Source organism: Homo sapiens, chromosome 20, assembly GCF_000001405.40.
Source record: "Homo sapiens chromosome 20, GRCh38.p14 Primary Assembly".
Lineage (NCBI taxonomy): Eukaryota > Metazoa > Chordata > Mammalia > Primates > Hominidae > Homo > Homo sapiens.
The window spans coordinates 44654008-44673622 of record NC_000020.11 but is presented as its reverse complement, the minus strand read 5'-3'; the positions used below and the strand labels follow the sequence as shown (position 1 = coordinate 44673622).

The 19615-nt window shown below is 46.6% G+C and overlaps 1 long non-coding RNA gene across 1 annotated transcript, besides 2 other annotated features; it reads left to right on the top strand.

Annotated features, from left to right (window-relative positions):
* The first annotated feature begins 1883 nt into the window (after positions 1 to 1883).
* Positions 1884 to 17172, top strand: LINC01260 (long intergenic non-protein coding RNA 1260). Its single transcript, NR_034104.1, has 5 exons — positions 1884 to 1984; positions 10070 to 10269; positions 13845 to 13912; positions 14442 to 14628; positions 16572 to 17172. It is a non-coding gene; the product is annotated as a long intergenic non-protein coding RNA 1260 (long non-coding RNA).
* Positions 2144 to 2643: an enhancer, noted in NCBI's record as "H3K27ac hESC enhancer chr20:43299621-43300120 (GRCh37/hg19 assembly coordinates)". NCBI's record gives its function as "activates a minimal SCP1, AML or CMV promoter by ChIP-STARR-seq in naive H9 embryonic stem cells {active_cell/tissue: H9 hESC(naive)}" and the evidence as "EXISTENCE:reporter gene assay evidence [ECO:0000049][PMID:30033119]".
* Positions 2644 to 3145: an enhancer, noted in NCBI's record as "H3K27ac hESC enhancer chr20:43299119-43299620 (GRCh37/hg19 assembly coordinates)". NCBI's record gives its function as "activates a minimal SCP1, AML or CMV promoter by ChIP-STARR-seq in naive H9 embryonic stem cells {active_cell/tissue: H9 hESC(naive)}" and the evidence as "EXISTENCE:reporter gene assay evidence [ECO:0000049][PMID:30033119]".

Genomic DNA, 19615 nt, shown 5'->3' with positions numbered 1-19615 from the left:
AAAAAAAGCATTTTAAAGATCAAGAATGGAATAGTGAGTTGTGGAGGAAGATATTGAGGACAAAAGAGCGTACGGGTTGGGCACCACAGGGTGGATAGGCAAAACAATTTGGTTGATAAGGCACAGATCCTGAACTAACCTGTAAGACTTGTCCGGTTTTTGAACAGGTAAAATGGGAGAATTGTAAGGAGAGTTTATAGGTTTTAGAAGCCCATGCTGTAGCAGGCAAGTGATAACAGGATTTAATCCCCTTAAAGCCTGTTGTGGGATGTGATACTGGCATTGAGTGGGGTAAGCGTGATTAGGTTTTAATGGGATAGTAATGGGCATGTGATTGGTTGCCAGGGAGGGAGTGGAGGTGTCCCATATTTGTGGGTTAAGGTCGGGGGATATGAGAGGAAGACCCAAAGGAGGCTTTGGGTTGGGAAGAAGGGGGCAATGAGATGTGGCTGTAGTACAGGAATAATCAGGGAAGCAGATAATTTGGTTAAAATGTCTCAGCCTAATAAGGAAGCTGGGCAGGTGGGGATAACTGAAAAAGAGTGCATAAAAGAACGTTGTCCAAGTTGGCACCAGAGTGGGGGAGTTTTAAGGGGTTTTGAAGCTTGGCCATCAATACCCACAACAGTTATGGGGGCGAGGGAAACAGGCCCTTGAAAAGAAGATAATGTGGAGTGGGTAGCCCCCATATCGATTAAACGGGATGGACTTACCCTCCACTTTAAGAGTTACCCGAAGCTCAGCGTCTGTGATGGTCCAGGAGGCTTCTGAGGCGATCGGGCTACGTCAGTCTTCAGCTGCTAAGCCGAGGAGATCTGGGAAGGAGTCGGCCAAGGAACATAGGGTTTGGGCTCCAGGGGCTTTAGGAGTGGCAGTGATGTGAGTCGGACAGTCCGACCTCCAGCGGGGGCCCGCACAGACAGGGCACGGCTTAGGAGGAATCCCGGGCTGCGGGCATTCTGAGGCCCAGTGGCCAGGCTTTTAGCATTTGAAGCAAGGTCCACGAGGATGTTTTGAAGGAGCCCCTGGGAGCTGTGGCTTGGATGTTCTGAAGTTCTTGTATGCTGGAGACGTGGTTGTGGGCTGTCTTACAGCGGAGGCGAGCAGCTGTAACTCAGAAATGCGTTGCTGCCTGGCTACCTCCTCTGTATTATTGTACACTTTGAAGGGGAGGTTGATTAATTCGTGTTGTGGGGTTTGAGGGCCGGATTCCAATTTTTAAAGCTTTTTTCTAATGTCAGGAGCTGGGTGATAAAATGCATATTAAGAATAAGGCGGCCTTCTGGCCCCTCTGGGTCTAGGGCGGTAAAGTGTGTAAGGGTTGCTGCCGAGCGGGCCATGAACTGAGCTGGGTTTTCGTCTTTACCTTGGGTAGTTTCTCTAAGTTTGTCATAATTAACAGCTTTGTAAGCTGCCTTTTTAAGCCCTTCAACTAGGCAGGAAACCATGTAATCTCGCCTAGCCATACCTGGGGAATCTGCCTGATAGTTCCATTGGGGGTCCTCTCGGGGAACTGCTCTACTGCCTTCCTGGAGGTCAGGTTCATGAAGCCGGCGGTTATCAGCGTGAGATTGGGCTAGAGAAAAAACTCTTTCCCGTTCATCTGGGGAGAGGGTAGAAGTCAGGATGACATTTCAGTCACTCCAGGTTAAACTGTAGGACAGAGTTAGATATCGGGATTCCTGTATATATTTAGTGGGGTCTGATGAGAAAGAGCCTAAATGCTGGCTGATTTGGGAAAGGTCTGATAGAGAAAAAGGCACATGTACCCTGACTATGCCTTCAGCTCCAGCCACCTCTCTAAGAGGAAATTGTTGGGCAGGTGGGGGAGAGCTAGCCGCAGAACGAAACTGAAAACCAGACTGGGTGTGGGGAGGGCGGGTAATAGAAGGGTTATAGGATGTGGGAGCAGAGGCTGAAGAAGAGTTGGAGGCTGATTCAGCCTGGTGGGGAGCGAGCTGAGGAGGAGCAGTCTGGGAAGAAGGTGAGACGTCAGATGGTTCAGTAGAAAAGGAAGATTCACAAGACTCAGCGACGCTTGGGGTTGGGACTGAAGGGACAGGTGGGAGGGAAAGAAGGAGGATTTGGGACGAGTCGCATTGGGAACAGAGACTAGGGAGGGAACGAAGTGTGAAAAATGCCTGGACGTAAGACACCTCAGACCATTTGCCCATTTTTCAACAAAAATTATCTAGGTCTTGTAGGACGGAGAAATGAAAAGTGCCATTTTCTGGCCATTTAGAACCATTGTTAGTTTGTATTGGGGCCAAGTGGTGTTGCAGAAGAAAATAAGATGCTTAGATTTTAGGTCAGGTGAGAGTTGAAGAGGTTTTAAGTTCTTGAGAACATAGGCTAAGGGAGAAGAAGGAGGAATGGAGGGTGGAAGTTTGCCCATAGTGAAGGAGGCAAGTTTAAAGAGAAGGGTAGAGATATGGAGAAGGGGGTGGGGAGCAGCCCTGGGCTGCAATGTGGGTGAGCAGCCAAAGCAGGCGTCCCCGCAATTGACTTGCCACCAAGGGAATGTGGGTGAATGACCAAAGCAGGCGTCCCTGCGGTGATCGGACACCAATGGAATGTGGGTGAATAATCAGGCAGGCGTCCCCGCAGTGATTAAATGGCAAGGGAAGACTGTCTTCCTGAGTCTGTGACCGGCCCTGGAGTTTTGGGTTCACGGATAAAATGTGTCTCCTTTGTCTCTACTGGAGAGGAAAAAGAACTGGAATTGGAAGGACAGAGAGATTGAAGGGTAGCAAGAGAGGCTGGAGAAGAGAGTGAAAAGACCACTTACCCAATTTGAAATTGGTGAGATGTTCCTTGGGCTGGTTGATCTGAGGACCCGAGGTCGTAAGTGGATCTCTTCACGGAGTGAGGGTGAGGACAGGGGACTGGTCTCCCGAAGGAGTCCCTCTGACCCGGGTCTTCAGCACCAAATGTCACACGCATCTGTGTGAAGAGACCACCAAACAGGCTTTGTGTGAGCAACAAGGCTGTTTATTTCACCTGGATGCAGGCGGGCTGAGTCCGAAAAGAGAGTCAGCAAAGGGTGGTGGGATTATCATTAGTTCTTACAGGTTTTGGGATAGGCAGTGGAGTTAGGAGCAATGTTTTGTGGGCAGCGGGTGGATCTCACAAAGTACATTCTCAAGGGTGGGGAGAATTACAAAGAACTTTCTTAAGGGTGGGGGAGATTACAAAGAACTTTCTTAAGTGGGGGGAGATTATAAAGTACATTGATCAGTTAGGGTGGGGCAGAAACAAATCACAATGGTGAAAGGTCATCAGTTAAGGCTATTTTCACTTCTTTTGTGGATCTTCAGTTGCTTCAGGCCATCTGGATGTATACATGCAGGTCACAGGGGATATGACGGCTTAGCTTGGGCTCAGAGGCCTGACACAAAAGACCTGAAAAAGACAACTTGAGACCAACAGAATGTCTCTCCCTCTCCCCCGTTTCTTTTCTCCTTTTTTTTTTTTTTAGCAGCAGTTTACTCAAAAGGTAAACAAAAAAATCTTTTGCTATCTCTTATTAATACTATATGAGGCAGGGTGCGGTGGCTCCCGCTTGCAATCCCAGCACTTTGGAAGGCCAAGGCAGGCGGATCACCCTGAGATCAGGAGTTCAAGACTAGCCTGGTTAACATGGCAAAACCTTTTCTCTACTCAAAATACAAAAATTAGCCTGGCATGGAGGCGCATGCCAATAATCCCAGCCACTCAGGAGGCTGAGGCAGGAGAATCACTTGAATCCAGGAGGTGGAGGTCACAGTGAGCCGAGATCACGCCACTGCACTCCAGCCTAGGTGACAGAACGAGACTCCATCTCAAAAAAAAAAAAAAAAAAGAACAAAAAAAAAACTATGTGACTATCTAGTTCAAAATAGAAAAATGATTCTACTTTTGCATCAATGCATTATAAATATAAAGCCTAATTTTAATAAAACCTTATAAATCATCTAATCTCAATCAGCTTTGACCACACGAGATAATATTTCTATAAACCTTTTATAACTTCTTACAATTTTTCCATTCCTCTTTCTTTTCCCAACTTTCTATATCCATTCAGTTAATCTATTTTATTCTTTCCTTCTTTTATCCCAATTTCATACAGCCTTTAAATAACCTCTAAACTAGGCAAAACCACTTTCTCTTTAACAAAAACCACATGCTTATGTCTTTCTTATAATCTTCCTTCCTAAAAAGATGTCTTACTTTCCTTACATATTCTGAATACAGAATTGTCTTCCTTCTGGTCTCTAGTGTTAGTTACCATATATTAGTCAGAATTTTAAATCTTAGTAATCTTAATTTATACTGAAAATCTAAGAAGTAATTTTTTTTTTTTTTTTAGAGTCTCACTCTGTCACCCAGGCTGCAGTGCAGTGGCGCGATCTCAGCTCACTGCAACCTCCACCTCCCAGGTTCAAGTGATTCTTCTGCCTCAGCCTCCCAAGTAGCTGGGACTACAGGCACACACCACCACGCCTGGCTAATTTTTTGTATTTTTAGTAGAGACAGGGTTTCACCATGTTGGCCAGTCTGGTCTCAAACTCCTAACCTCAGGTGATCTGCCCACCTCAGCCTCCCAGAGTGCTAGGATTACAGGTGTGAGCCACCGCCCAGCCAGAAGTAATTTTGTCACTATGTACTAACAATTGATTAATACACATTTTATAATATTTAGAAACACAGGCTTTCTAATGGAACAATTTTTCAGTGTGGAATAGGATACTTTTACTAGCGGATCTTAATATCTCTTTTTTTTTTTTTTTTGAGACAGGGTCTTGCTCTGTTGCCCAAGCTGGAATATAGTGGTGTGATTATAGCTCACTGCAGCCTCAAACTCCTAGGCTTGAGTGATCGATCCTCCTGCCTCAGCCTCTTGAGTAGTTAGGACTAACAAGCATGCAACACCACTCCTGGCTAACTTTAAAATTTTTATTTTGTAGAGACAAGGTCTCACTATGTTGCCCTGGCTGGTCTGTAACTCCTGGCCTCAAGCAGTCCTCTTATCTCAGCTTTCCAAAGTGCTGGGATTACAGGTATGAGCCACCACACCCAGCCCCTAAATATCTTTTGTTTCTCTGAAATAAGAAACCAAAAGTATATGAGCTTAAACTTATATGTAGTAATTAATGTCTTAGCATTATATCTTATTTGGAAATGATCTAGATCTTCAATAAATATTCATAGTTTAATTTAGCTTGGCAAAACTCTAAAGGCATAGTTACCAAAAAAATTTGAAAAACTTTTTCCCTTTTGTGGCCATCGCCAAAGCAGGAGTAGCCAAAATGAAGTTTGATCCCTTTGTGACTTATTTTTTTTTCATTTTTTTGTTTGTTTGTTTTTGAGACAGAGTCTTGCTCTGTTGCCCAAGCTGGAGTTCAGTGGCACAATCTCGGCTCACTGCAGCCTCCCACCTCCTGGATTCAAGCTATTCTCCTGCCTCAGCCTCCAAAGTAGCTGGGCTTACAGGCGTGTACCACCATGCCCAGCTAATTTTTGCATTTTCAATAGAGACTAGGTTCACCGTGTTGGCCAGGCTGCTCTTGAATTCCTGACCTCAGCTTCCCAGTGTTGGGATTACAGGTGTGAGCCATCACACCTGGCCTTAATTAATTTTATTAAATAACATATTTTTTTTAATGGAACGCTTCAGAATTTACATTTCATCCTTGCACAGGTGACATGCTACTAATCTTTTCTCTATCATTCCAATTTCATTTTATTTATTTATTTGTTTATTTATTTATTTTGAGACAGAGTCTCTCTCTGTCACCCAGGCTGGAGTGCAGTGGTGCAGTCTTGGCTCACTGCAACGTCCACCTCCCAGATTCAAGCAATTCCCCTGCCTCAGCCTCCCAAGTAGCCAGGATTACAGGCATGTGCCACCACGCCCAGCTAATTTTTTTATGTTTAGTATGGATGGGGTTTCACCATGTTGGCCAGGCTGGTCTCGAACTCCTGACCTCAGGTGATCCACCCGCCTCAGACTCCCAAAGTGCTGGAATTACAGGCGTGAGTCACTGCACCCGGCCTTCATTCCAGTTTTAGTATATGTGCTGCGAAGCGAGTACCTCACTGAATTTTAGACAAGGTAGGAAATTTACATTTCAAAGCACAGAGAATAAATTTAAGCTTTCCAGAAAGCTGCTTAAGTTTTACATTTTTTTTTTCCTTCAGCAAAAAATCACACCAACAAGAAAGGAAGCGAACAGAGAGAGGGACTCACCATATAATTAAAAGAGGGGTTTCAGTCACCTGAAAAAAAATTCCCCAAAACAAGATCCAAAATAGAAGAAGCAGAAAGGCTCTATTTTAAAAATTATAGTCTTAATACCTGCTTTTAATTAAGTTGACTTTGAACTACAGAGCTCTTAAGAAAATCTTTTTTTTTTTTTTTTTTTTTTTTTTTTGAGACGGAGTCTCGCTCTGTCGCCCAGGCTGGAGTGCAGTGGCGGGATCTCGGCTCACTGCAAGCTCCGCCTCCCGGGTTCACGCCATTCTCCTGCCTCAGCCTCCCAAGTAGCTGGGACTACAGGCGCCCGCCACTACGCCCGGCTAATTTTTTGTATTTTTAGTAGAGACGGGGTTTCACCGTTTTAGCCGGGATGGTCTCGATCTCCTGACCTCGTGATCCGCTCGCCTCGGCCTCCCAAAGTGCTGGGATTACAGGCGTGAGCCACCGCGCCCGGCCAAGAAAATCTTTTTATCAGGTTTTAGCCAGATAAATTAACACACATTCTCGATTTTGTTTTTGTTTTTGGCTTTTCCTCTCTGAAATTTACATTAAGAAGAGTTTTGGAGGAGGGGCATATTTGTTTGTAAGAGGTCTAGGGTAATCACTCTTTTAAGCTGTGTGTCTTTGAAATGTTTTAATTAAATGTGTCCTTTCTTTCTGAATATGTGGTTTCATTAAGCTTAGGAGAGAAGGCTAAACAAAACAAAAATTCCTATCGTAGTCTAAATAGAAACCAAAATTTTAAATCAAAGGTATACCTGCACAAGTTACTCAAAACCAACATAAATAGGTGTGCATGAGACCAACAGCAGGTGCTCATACAGCACCCAGCACGGAGCCCAGTACACAGTAAGCACTCAGTGCTGGCTAGCTGTTCTCATTATCATCATCATCATTGTCGTCCTCATATATGTATGAGTGGCTGATCAATCTCTGCGATCATGGATGAGGAAGACTTTGGAAGTCAAGACATAAAAGGAAACTTTGAAGAAGGGCAGGTTATCCCAGGCCAGGGCAAGATACTAGAGCTGCATTGTAGCACTGCAGAGCTATAATAAAATGGGAAGCAGCAGCCCATGATTTCTGGGGGTGCTGGGGAAGATGAGGACCCAAGGGGAAACCACCGACAGCTAGTGATCAGCTTGACTAAAGAACTTCCCACAACCAGAGTTTTGACCCAAGATAGTACAGGATTTGGAGGAGGGGTGAATTCCTCATCCCAGGAAATGTACAGAGCCGAGGCTCAGTGGACAGCTGTCATCAGGAAGAGGATTCCTGCACTGGTGACAGGTTGAAGGAAATGACTTATTAGGTCCTTTATTTGGTCTTGATCTCTCTGAATAAGGGTCCCAAGATTCCCTCCCCTGTTGTGGCCACATAGTCAGCAACAGTTCATAACATAATAAGTTATTAAACATGTTAAGTTACATGTAACATAATAAATATATTTATTTACATAATAGCATTACATTTTTGTTCATAATTACATAAATTAAAATTTACATTTACATTCATATTTTCATCAATATGATACATATCTATAATTATTTCATTCCTACATTGTGTTTGTATACTTTTACGTTAACCTCTTCATGTGACATTGATTTTGTAATGTCATTTTCTTTAGAGAGAATAAGAAGATACTTTAATCTTTTCTCTAGCACAGTTGACTAATTTTTTTTTCTTTTTTTTTTTTTTTTTTGAGACAGAGTCTTGCTCTGTCGCCCAGGCTGGAGTGTAGTGGTGCAATCTAGGCTCACTGCAACCTCCACCTCCTGGGTTCAAGCGATTCTCCTGCCTCAGCCTCCTGAGTAGCTAGGACTACAGGCACGCCTGGCGAATTTTTGTAATTTTAGTAGAGATAGGGTTTCACCATGTTGGCCAAGCTGGTCTCAAACTCCTGGTCTCAAATGATTCACCCACCTTGGCCTCTCAAAGTGCTGGGATTACAGGTGTGAGCCACCGTGCCCGGCCCCCATTTTTTTTTTTTTTAAGGCAGGGTCTTGCTCCATTGCCCAGGCAGGCATGCAGTTGTCTGATCTTTGTACACTGCAGCCTCAAACTCTTGGGCTCAAAGGATCTCCCCGTCTCAGCCTCCCAAGTAATCAGGACTACAGGCATGTGTCTCCACATGCAACTAATACTTTAAGATTTTGTAGAGATGGAGTCTCACTATGTTGCCCAGATTGGTCTTGAACTCCTGGCCTCAAGCCACCCTCCCACCTTGGCCTCCCAAAATACGGGGATTACAGGCATGAGCCACTGTGCCTGGCCCCAAATTTCTTATGGTCGATAAAGTTTCTTTCAGCTTTGCAACTTATTACTGGTACAGTAGCCCCCTCTTCTGCAAGGTTTTGCTTCCTGAGGTTTCAGTTGCCCATGGACAACCACAGTCTGACAATATTAAATGAAAAATTCCAGAAATCAACAATTCATTAAGTTCTACATTGCATGCTGTTCCGAGTAGCGTAATGAAATTTGGTGCTGCCCCACTCTACCCCACCCTGTCCCACCAGGGGTGTGAATTGCCCCTTTGTCCAGCATCTTCACTACCTGCCCATTCGTCAACTTAGTAGTTGTCTTGGCTATTGGATCAAAAAAAACATAGTCTAAATAGGATTCCGTACTATCCACGGTTTCAGGCACCCACTGAGGGTCTTGAAATGTATCCCTCGAGGATAAGGGGGGACTACTGGAAGGTCATAAAATTCTAGGATTGTTGTCAAATTTGGAAGAACCTCTATCAAGTTTCTTTCATATCGGAGCTGTAAGATTTCCGGACTTATTATGTTTCCTTGATGACTAATCTTAAAATTTTTTTGAATTGATGCTTTCTATTACATCCTTTTTGTAGTGGTGTATTTTGACTTTTGTTATTTTCATCAATGTCAGTATTCCGTGACAACTTCTCCTTAGCTAGATCCCCCAAAATGCCAGAAGCACTGGGGCAATACCCAAAAGAAGGGGAAGTATGACAGAGAGGGAAGTTGGAGTGAGAGGGGCAGCAGTCTTAATAAATTACAGTTAAAACATCTTACATTGGCAAATTCTACTAAAGCATGTGATCCTGAGTGTGCATTACTTGGCCCCTCCCAGGCCCCTGGAAGGCCCCTGGCAAGTGAGGGGCTCTAAGGCTTAAGCTGTGACTTTCACAGTAAGTTTGCTAAATCCATTTCTGCCTTTCCCCAGCGTGATGGGGAGATTCTGTCCACCTCCACTTAAGCGTTGTTTTTTACAGGAAGCCTCCAGAATAAGCTAGTTGCCCCTACCCCCACCCCATTATCTGCGTCATGAGGCTGGAGGTCATGACTACCTGGCTCCTTCTGTATCCTAAGTAGACTGAAGAGTGCCTGGTACATAGTAGAATCTTAGGCTCAGGGCTGAGGTGAGCTGCCAGGGTCATGCAGATAGGAACTGTCAGAGCTCGGGATCAGCCAGAATGAATGAGTGAAAGAACGAATGAATGCCAGCTTCCCAGACTCAGTCAGGGAAACCTCATTTCTTTCTTTCTTTCTTTTTTTTTTTTTTTGAGACAGAGTCTCCCTCTGTCACCCAGGCTAGACTGCAGTGTGCGATCTCAGTTGACTGCAACCTCCGCCTTCTGGGTTCAAGCGATTCTGCTGCCTCAGCCTCCCAAATAGCTGGGACTACAGGTGCACTTCACCACTCCTGGCTAATTTTTGTATTTTGAGTAGAGATGGGATTTCACCATGTTGGCCAGGCTGGTCTGGAACTCCTGACCTCAAGTGATCCTCCTGCCTCGGCCTCCCAAAGTACTTGGATTACAGGCGTCAGCCACCGTACCTGACTAGAAACCTCATTTCTTACCAGAACTCTTGATGGCCTGCTTCCCATCCTCCATCCTGGAAGACTGATCTGAAACCCCAGGAGGAGGTCCTCTGAGCCCTGAGGCAGAGATCTCTCACCTGGAAGATGGGTCTAATGACTGCGCCCCACACACACCAGAGAGGACTGCAGATAGTGCGGGATGAGAGGAAGATCTCTGGCCCTGGAGACAGCATCATCAAGCGGTAGCTTCATCTTTGGGAGCTGGGGCCTCTGCAGGAGCTTTACCCTCCTCTCTCCATGCTGAGCCTGTCTCAACCCCCTAACCTGCACCCCAGTCTTTTGGGGTCACCTCAAGGCTTTGGCTGATGCTTCTTTGCTGACGTCAACCAAGGTGATGGACCCATTTGTCCTTGTAAAGTAACTCTTGAACATACAGGCACTTCTCCCTCCCTCCTCTTGCTTTGAAGGGTGGGTGGGCACCTGCCACCATGGTCAGGGTGAGGGCCAGCCCCATACCCCCAATGTCAGAAGGCAGCTGCCCCTGGCCTGTGGGTTTATCTCAGAGGGGCCAGGTTTTCCTCACTGTGTGTCCCCAGCACCTAGCCTGGGGCCCAGCCCAGGGTCACACTCAGTAAATACTGGCTGAGAATTAAGGGGGAACTTTCTCGTTCCCCTCCAACACTTTTCTTTTCTTTTTTTTGAGACAGAGTCTCACTCTGTCGCCCAGGCTGGAGTGCAGTGGCGCGATCTCGGCTCACTGCAACCTCCACCTCCCAGATTCAAGTGATTCTCCTGCTTCAGCCTCCCGAGTAGTTGGGATTACAGGTGCCCGTCACCACATCCGGCTAATTTTTGTATTTTTAGTAGAGACGGGGTTTTGCATGTTGACCAGGCTGGTCTCGAACTTTTAACCTCAAGTGATCCACCCGCCTTGGCCTCCCAAAGTGCTGGAATTACAGGCATGAGCCACCGCACCTGGCACCAATGCTTTTCTGCAAGTGCTAGTGTGTGCCATAGAGACATCTGTGCATGCCCAGGGGCGGCTGAGGGGCCATAAGCCTCCTTTGACTCCATTATCTTGCCTGTGCAGGCCAGACGATTGCCTGAACCCACAATAGCTTCACCAGAAGAGGGGCTTACTCATCACTTCCACACAACCTGTGCCCCTCCCCCACTGGGACCAGCTGGGGTTGAGGGGGTGAGGGTCAGGCTGGGGAAGGCTCCTGGAGATTGCATTTGCAACCTACCCCTCCCCTGCCAACCTCTATTACCACACTGAGAGGAACAGGGAGACATCACTAAATTGAGGACCTAGGTAGAGAGAGAAGAAGAGAGTGTCCTGTCAGCCTTCAAAGGTTATTCAGAGCTCTTGGTGCAGGAAGGCCCTGCTAGAAAACTCCAAGAGTCCAGGAGGGCCTTGGGCATAAAAGCTCAGAGTTGTCCTCAAGAAGCAACTGCATGGCAGTTATATCAGATGCACATTCAACAATAATAATAGCAAAACCTTACACAGACCTACAAGCCCTTATCCACACTTCAGAGATCCCAGTGTTTCTGAACAAAATAATGTAACACCAAAACTCATTGGGTAGCCAAAACCTAACCTGAACAGATGTATGAATACTCGTATATTGTTTTCTGCAGAAATATTAATGTGTTTCGTTATGGGATGCTAAGCCAGATCCCACTACCCACTAGTGTGTTATATAAGTCATGTGCTTTCCAAAATCCCAAAACTCCCTAAATTCCAAAATGCATCAGGATCCTGAGACACTGGAGTTTCAGTTAAGGAGTTGTGACCTGTGTAGCTTCCTCCATGACAGGCACTGTTCTAACTGCTCTCCATAATATTAATTCATTCAATCCTTACAATGACCTGACAGAGTAGAACTTACTATTATTCTTCCAATTTTATAGATAAGGAAACTGAGGCAGAGAGAGGTAAAGTGACTTGCCCAAACACATACAGCTAATGAATGCTGCAACTGAAGCTTCCAGAGCCTAGTTCCAGAGCCCACTCTCCGAACAAGTCTACCATCTATTTCCCTTAAAAGGGCTGGTGAGGCCGGGCGCAGTGGCTCACACCTGTAATCCCAGCACTTTGGGAGGCTGAGGTGGGTGGATCACCTGAGGTCAGAAGTTTGAGACCACCCTGCCAACATGGTGAAACCCCATCTCTATTAAAAATACAAAAATTAGGTGGGCGTGGTGGCGGGCACCTGTAATCTCAGCTACTCGGGAGGCTGAGGCAGGAGAACTGCTGGAACCCAGGAGGCAGAGGTTGCAGTGAGCCGAATCCGTGTCATTGCACTCCAGCCCAGGCCAACAACAGCAAGAATTCGTATTAAAAAAAAGGCTGGTGAGAGGGGCGTGGAGGTTGAGGGGTGTGGTAAACTGTAGGAGATAACGATTTTATGTTGTGTGTGTGCTATGGTTTGGATGTGGTTTGTCTCCTCCAAAATGCATGTAGAAACTTGGTCCCCAATGTAATGGTATTGGGAGGTGGGGCCTTTAAGAGGGGATTAGGTCATTAGGAGGGATTAATGCCTTTCTCACAGGAGTGGGTTAATTCTCACAGAAGTGGGTGAGTTATTGAGAGCAGTTCATTACAAAAGTGAGTTTGGCTTCCTCGGCTTTCTCTTGCTTCCTCGGCTTTCTCTTGCTTCCTCTCACCCTACGATGCATTCTGCTGTGTTACAACACAGCACGAGGCCCTCACCAGAAGCTGACCAGATCCAGCCACCCTGTCTTGGACTTCCCAGCCTCCAGAACTGTAAAAAACAAACCCCTTTTCTTTGTCAATTACCCAGTCCCATGGGTTCTATGACAGCAACAGAAAGTGGACAAATTGTGTAACATGCACATGTCCAGGAGGGTGTGTGAGAGGTAATCCTGTTGTTACGGTTGTTCTGTAGGGTGACCACAATTGGGAATTTCCCTGGGACTGTTTTGGTTTTAGCACTGAAAACTCTGTATTTCAATAAACTACTCAGACCTGGTAAACCAGGATGGTTGGTCACCCTAGTTCTTGGCCTCTTTTCCTATGAGCAACATGAGGCTCATGACCCACTGAGGAAGATTCTAGGATCTGAAGATGCACTTTGTCTACATAACACAGCTTCTCAACCCAAACCAGGATCTCCAGCAGGCACTTACTCAAGACATGGGGAAGAAGCCCCGGAGAAAATGCTGGCTGTATCAGATTCAGTGAGGGACGATGCCTCTGTCTCCACCTGGCATCTTCCTAAGAGGTTTTCAAGGACCAATGTGACTCTATCAGGCTTTCACCTTGAGTGTTGATGCTGGCCTCCATTGTAAATACAGTGGGAATACACTTGATATTCTAATTTAGAAATGCCTGACTCTCATCCCCAGCTTTGAATTTTAACTCCTCAAAGTCCAAAGTGACTTCTTAGGAATGACCCACACCATGAGCTCATATCTATCTTCCTGAGGCCTGCCCAGACCTGTCGAAGTAGAGAGAAGAAGACAAGGCCCCTGCTCTTGAGAAGCAGGTATGGGCTATGGAGGCAGGACAGAACTATGCCCCAGGTTCAGAGAGTGGGGAAGAGAGTCCTGTGTGCCGAGGGCTCCCATGGACTCCTGGAGCAGGATAAGGAAGGAATGGGGGAAGGATGGGGATACCATACAATCCTCCTGAGGGCTGAGGATTCCCCCAGTCAAGAACTGAGGCTGGAGACTGCTGTTTAAACATGGCAGGTTGAACACACTTATTTCTCTCCATTGTTCTCTGAAATTCCAAGAAAATGACACAGGGATTTTTTTTTTAAATGCACATCTATCTACTGGGACAAAGAAAACGTATGAGGAAGAAAATAGCAGATGAGAAGAATCAACCAAATTCCGGAAGCTGGAAGGCAGATGGTGAGTGGGGACTGACAAGAAACCCAGGAAGTTGAAACCTGGCTGCTCACGGGGAGCCTTTAGGACAAAGCAAATTGCAGAATCTCAGGCTCAGGGATTGGAGGGACCAGAAATCTCTGAAGACCAAGTGGTGTCAGGTAGGGCAGAAGACAGAAGGGTGGGTTGGTTATCAATCTGGGAGACAATTGGATGTCCAGGCCTCCTACCCCAGCTGGCACAGGCAAGATGTGACCCCACCCCACAATAACACGAGGCCCACCCACCGGATAGGCTGGATGAAAAGAATAATCTGAGATGATGTTTGCTATGGTTTGAATGTGGTTCCCCAACAAGCATGTGTTAGAAACTTAATCCCCAATGCAACAGTGTTGGCAGGTGGGGCCTCATGGGAGGTGTTTAGGTCATGGGGGCTCCACACTCATGGGTGGATTAATGCTGAGTATAAAAAGGCTTGAGGCCGTGAGATCAATCTCTTGCTCCCTCTCTTACCCTCTCGGACTCTCTCATCTTCTACCATGGAATGATGCAGCAAGAAGGCCCTTGAATGATGCCAGCACCTTGATATTGGACTTTCCAGCCTCCAGAACCATGAGCCAATACATTTCTGTTCCATAAAAATTACCCAGTTCCAGGTATTCTGCTATAGCAGCACAAAATGGACTAAAACAATGTTGGCACAAGACTCAGTGCTGGGCCTGGCATGCAACAGGTCCTTGGTAAGTTGTCTCTATGATTATACTCAGGCCTCTTTCTATCTTGCTCTCTTATTTTCTTCTCCTGGTCAGAAAGAGGCTTAAAGACATATGATATGGACAGCAGAATCTGGCTTCCTGGTAACACTCTTTCCACCTATCCATATACCCTCCTCACCTACCAGGCTATTTGATGTGGCAGAAATGAGCAGCCTTCTAGATCTACTATCCTCTAATTTTTTTTTTCCCCCAATACGGAGTCTTGCTCTGTCCACCCAGGCTGGAATGCAGTGGCACAATCATGGCTCACTGCAACCTCTGCCTCCCAGGTACAAGCAATTCTCCTGCCTCAGCCTCCCAATTAGCTGGGATTACAGGTGTGCACCACCGTGCCCAGCTAATTTTTGTATTTTTAGTAGAAACGGGGTTTCACCATGTTCGTGAGGCTGGTCTCGAACTCCTGACCTTGTGATCGAACACCTCGACCTCCTAAAGTGTTGGGATTACAGGCATGAGCCACTGCAGTGGGCCTACTATCCTCTTCTTTAGTAACACAATCTCCTTTTTTTTAGCTGGGTACCTTGCCTTACAGGTATAAGACATTTCCTAGTTTCCTTTGCGATTAGATGTGGCCATGTGACTATATAAGCAGAATTTGTTGTGAGGAAAACCAGGTATCTAGATCTTTAAAAGACAGAAGTGGCCAGGCGTGGTGGCAGGCGCCTGTAGTCCCAGCTACTTGGGAGGCTGAGGCAGGAGAATGGCGTGAGCCCCGGAGGCAGAGCTTGCAGTGAGCCAAGATAGTGCCACTGCAGTCCAGCCTGGGCAAAAGAGTGAGACTCTGTCTCAAGAAAAAAAAAAAGAGAGACAAGCACTAGCTGCTGCATCCTTTCCTCAGCCCTGCTCTCTGGACTGCAGATGTGAAGGCTGGTGCCCCAGCAGCCATACTGCACAATGAGGATAGGGGCTGGATGCTAGGGATGGCAGAGCAGAGAGATAGAAGGAGGCATCTTCACAGAGTTGTCACATCAGTGGCATTGCCTGCCTCTGGCCTTTTTACACAACAGAGAAATAAACTTCTGTCTTTTTTCAGCCACTATTATTTGGGTGTTTTCTGTTGTGTGCAACTGATCCTAATCCTGTCTGATAAATGTGAGTGAAAGGGCAACCTGTCCCTTGTCCTCTTTCTTATTCAGAGATCTTAGAAGATCAGAATCAGCAGGGACCTTGGCTGTGTGGGGCAAAATCTGGCCCACAGATGTTTTCTTTGGCTTATACAAAGTTTTAAACATTAGGACACATTTGAATACAGTTTAAACATTAAAAGATGGGTCTCCGGCTTTTTTGGATGATTGGAGGATCTGGCAACACTGGATTTATGTTTCAGCACAGCAGCATCTTGACGAGGCATTTGCTCTCTCCTTTCCACAATCCCCACCTCTCCCATTGTGTGAGGATGTTCTTCTCCTCCTATGAGCGAGGCGTGTCTATGGTTTATCCTATTAATTAGTATGTATATGTTATCCCCACTACACAGATGAGAAAATCAAGGCTCAAAACAACTTTCCCAAAGCCACAGAGCTGTAAGTGGTGGAGCTGAGGCTCCTGATCATATACATTTTGATCTTGATTTTTATTTATTTATTTGAGACAGAGTCTCCCTCTGTGGCCCAGAGGGATTCTCATGCCTCAGCCTCCCGAGTAGCTGGGATTACGGGTGCATGCCACCATGCCCGGCTAATTTTTGTATTTTTAGTAGAGATGGGGTTTCACCATGTTGGCCAGGCTGGTCTCAAACTCCTGACCTCAGGTGATCCGCCCGCCTCGGCCTCCCAAAGTCCTGGGATGACAGGTGTGAGCCACTGCGCCTGGCCTGGAATAGATCTTGAACTAGATTTTTCAGGAGGGCTACATTGGAGGTAGAGAGACATTCTCAAACATACACAATCTCTGTTGTCTTCTCACAGGAGTGGCGTGCTGTGTGGATAATGAATATTGGGGAAGGCATCTCTCTCCAGCCCCTCTCAAGCTTTCTGTAGTCACTGGTCCACTCTGTATTGCTATGAAGAAGCTCAAGACCAGCCTGTATCACTCGGGGTCCTGGCAGGAACCAGGTGCCACACTCAAACTGAGTAATTGAAGAGGGTTTAATATGGGAGTTATTTACATAGGTGTGGGCTGGTGTAGCTGCCCATATGCCCTCAAAATCACCTCTACATGGCAATAGCTACTTACTGCTAACAGAGTCTCTCTCTCATTGCTGCAAATATTTTCTAGCCATGCAAGAAACTCAGCCGGTCATGTTGAACAAACTAAGAGTGCCAGGAAGTTAATGTCCTGGAAGCATTGCCAGAGGGGAGGGGGCAGTTAGATTCCCCAGCTTCCTCGCTCCTCTGCTGGGTTAAGCCTGCAACATATTCATCATCTCCCAGAGTGCTGCCCAGGGATAGAGCTCCAGGTGCTCAGTGTGGTGACCTGCTCATGTCAGCTTCTTCCCCTTTCCTGTCTTGTTTCGCACCCACATCCTTCCCATGTTTCCTCTTCCCAAATAAACTACTTGCATTGAAATCTTTGTCTCAGGCTCTGCTTCTGGGGAAACCTGAACCTAGCGAGGAGAGTTTAAGGAAAGCAACAACGGGTGGCGTGGGACTCTGGTAACAAAGGGAACCACTGCCTTTCAAGAAAACGGCAGGAGGCCAGGCACGGTAGCTCATGCCTGTAACGCCAACACTTTGGGAGGCCAAGGTGGGTGGATTATTTGAGGTCAGGAGTTCAAGACCAGCCTGGCCAACATGGTAAAACCAAGTTTCTACTAAAAATACAAAAATTAGCCGGGCATAGTGGTGGGTGCCTGTAATTCCAGCTACTCCAGAGGCTGAGGCATGAGAATTGCTTGAGCCCAGGAGGTGGAGGTTGCAGTGAGCTGGGATTGCACCACTGCACTCCACCCTGGGCGACAGAGTGAGACTCTGTCTCAAAATCAATCAATCAATCAATAGGCAAGAGGGAATCTGGAATGGGGAGGGTATGGAGAGGTGGGCCAGGAGGACTGACAGGAGATGTGGCCTTGGTAGAGAGACACAGTCAGCCCAGTGACTGTGCACCGAGGGAAAGGGGGAATGAATATCCTGACCTCTCTCCTCTCATCTGCTGTTCTCCTGCTGGTGCTCCCTGTTGACAAAACCCAACCAGAGCCAGAGGGCAGGAGAGCCCATTGGTCTCACCCACAGCAGCATGGCTGCCGGACACAGAGGAGCAGAGCAGCGTGCAGAAGGGTGGAGAGTGCACCTGCAGGGGCAAACAGAAGAACTGCATCACGCAGCCTGGCCCTTTGGATCTGACCCATTTGGAATGCAGAATTTTGATAGTCTAGGATCTGGGTAAAGGGTTTTCCAGGTGTCAGGATGGAAGTGACTAAGGTGCAGAGGCTGGAGGGCTGGGGCAGGTAGAAGCAAGCATTCCTGTTACCTACTGCTGTGTGACAATCTCCCCCTAAAACACAATGGCTTAAAATAACATCCATTTCATTACATATCTCAATACTATAGGTCAGGAATTTGGGCTGGGCTTACTTGGGTAATTCTTCTGTCCCACATGGCATTGACCAAAGCCTGGTTTTCAGTGGGCAGCTGGGCTGGATGGCCCAACACAGCTTCGCTAACATGATTGCTGTCTTCGTAGGGATGGTGGAAGCCTGGGCTCAGTGGGACTGTCAACTGGAATGGCCATATGTGGACTCTCTTAGCATGATGGTCTCTTCTAGAAGCTTGGGTTCCCAGAGAGAATGTTCAAGAGGCCCCAAAGGACACCACAAAGCTTCTTTATGACCAAGGCTCGGAAATCCAGGAAGCTTGCTCCCATCACGCTCTATTACTCCAACAAGTCACTCAGGCCAGCCCAGGTCCAAGAGGAGGAAACCTAGACTCCATCTTGCAATGTGAAGAATTGCAAATAATTTGTGTCACCCTTAAGCAACCAGCAACTCATCTAGGTTGATTGGCATTTCAGCAATGTGGTGGGAAGTGGTGGGACTGATGTTGAAGAGGGACTTGAATGTCATGAGAGGCTGGGGAGGCAATAAGGTGGGGAGTGAAGTTTCTCGAGTCAGATTCAAATTTAAACCCCAGTTTTGCCACTTACAACCCATGAGCCAAGCAGGCTGTCTCTCTATCTGAACCTCAGTGTCCTCATCTGTAAAATGAGGAGAACACCTCCTACATCTGAGGATGACTGTAAAGATGAAATGGGATGGGTGCTTATAAAGTGCTTCCCAGTGTACCTGGCTCCAAACCTGTCTCAGTAAATGGCAGCCCCTATTATTGAACCCGAGTAACACAGAGAGCCAAGAAAGGATCTTACAAAAAACTCCCCTGGCTTTGACAATGTATGAGACCCACTGATAGGGTTTGGCTTTGTGTCCTCACCCAAATCTCATCTAGTAGCTCCCATAATTCCTACATGTTGTGGGAGAGACTCGGCGGGAGATAATTGAATCATGGGGGATGGTCTTTCCCATGCTGTTCTTGTGATAGTAAATAAGTCTCACAAGATCTGATGGTTTTAAAAATGGGAGTTTCCCTGCAGGCGCTCTCTCTTTGTCTACTGCCATCCATGTAAGACGTGACTTGCTCCTCCTTTGCCTTCTGCCATGATTGCAAGGCCTCCCCACCATTGTGGAACTGTAAGTCTATTAAAGCCTCTTTCTTTTGTAAATTACCCAGTCTCAGGTATGTCTTTTTTTTTTTTTTCATGAGATGGAGTTTCGCTCTTGTTGCCCAGGCTGGAATGCAATGGTGTAATCTTGGCTCACCACAACCTCCACCTCCCAGGTTCAAGCGATTCTCCTGCCTCAGCCTCCCGAGTAGCTGGGATTACAGTCATACACCACCACGCCTGGCTAATTTTGTATTTTTTTTTTTTTTTTTAGTAGAGACGGGGTTTCACCATGTTGGTCAGGCTGGTCTCAAACTCCCGACCTCAGGTGATCCTCCTGCCTTGGCCTCCCAAAGTC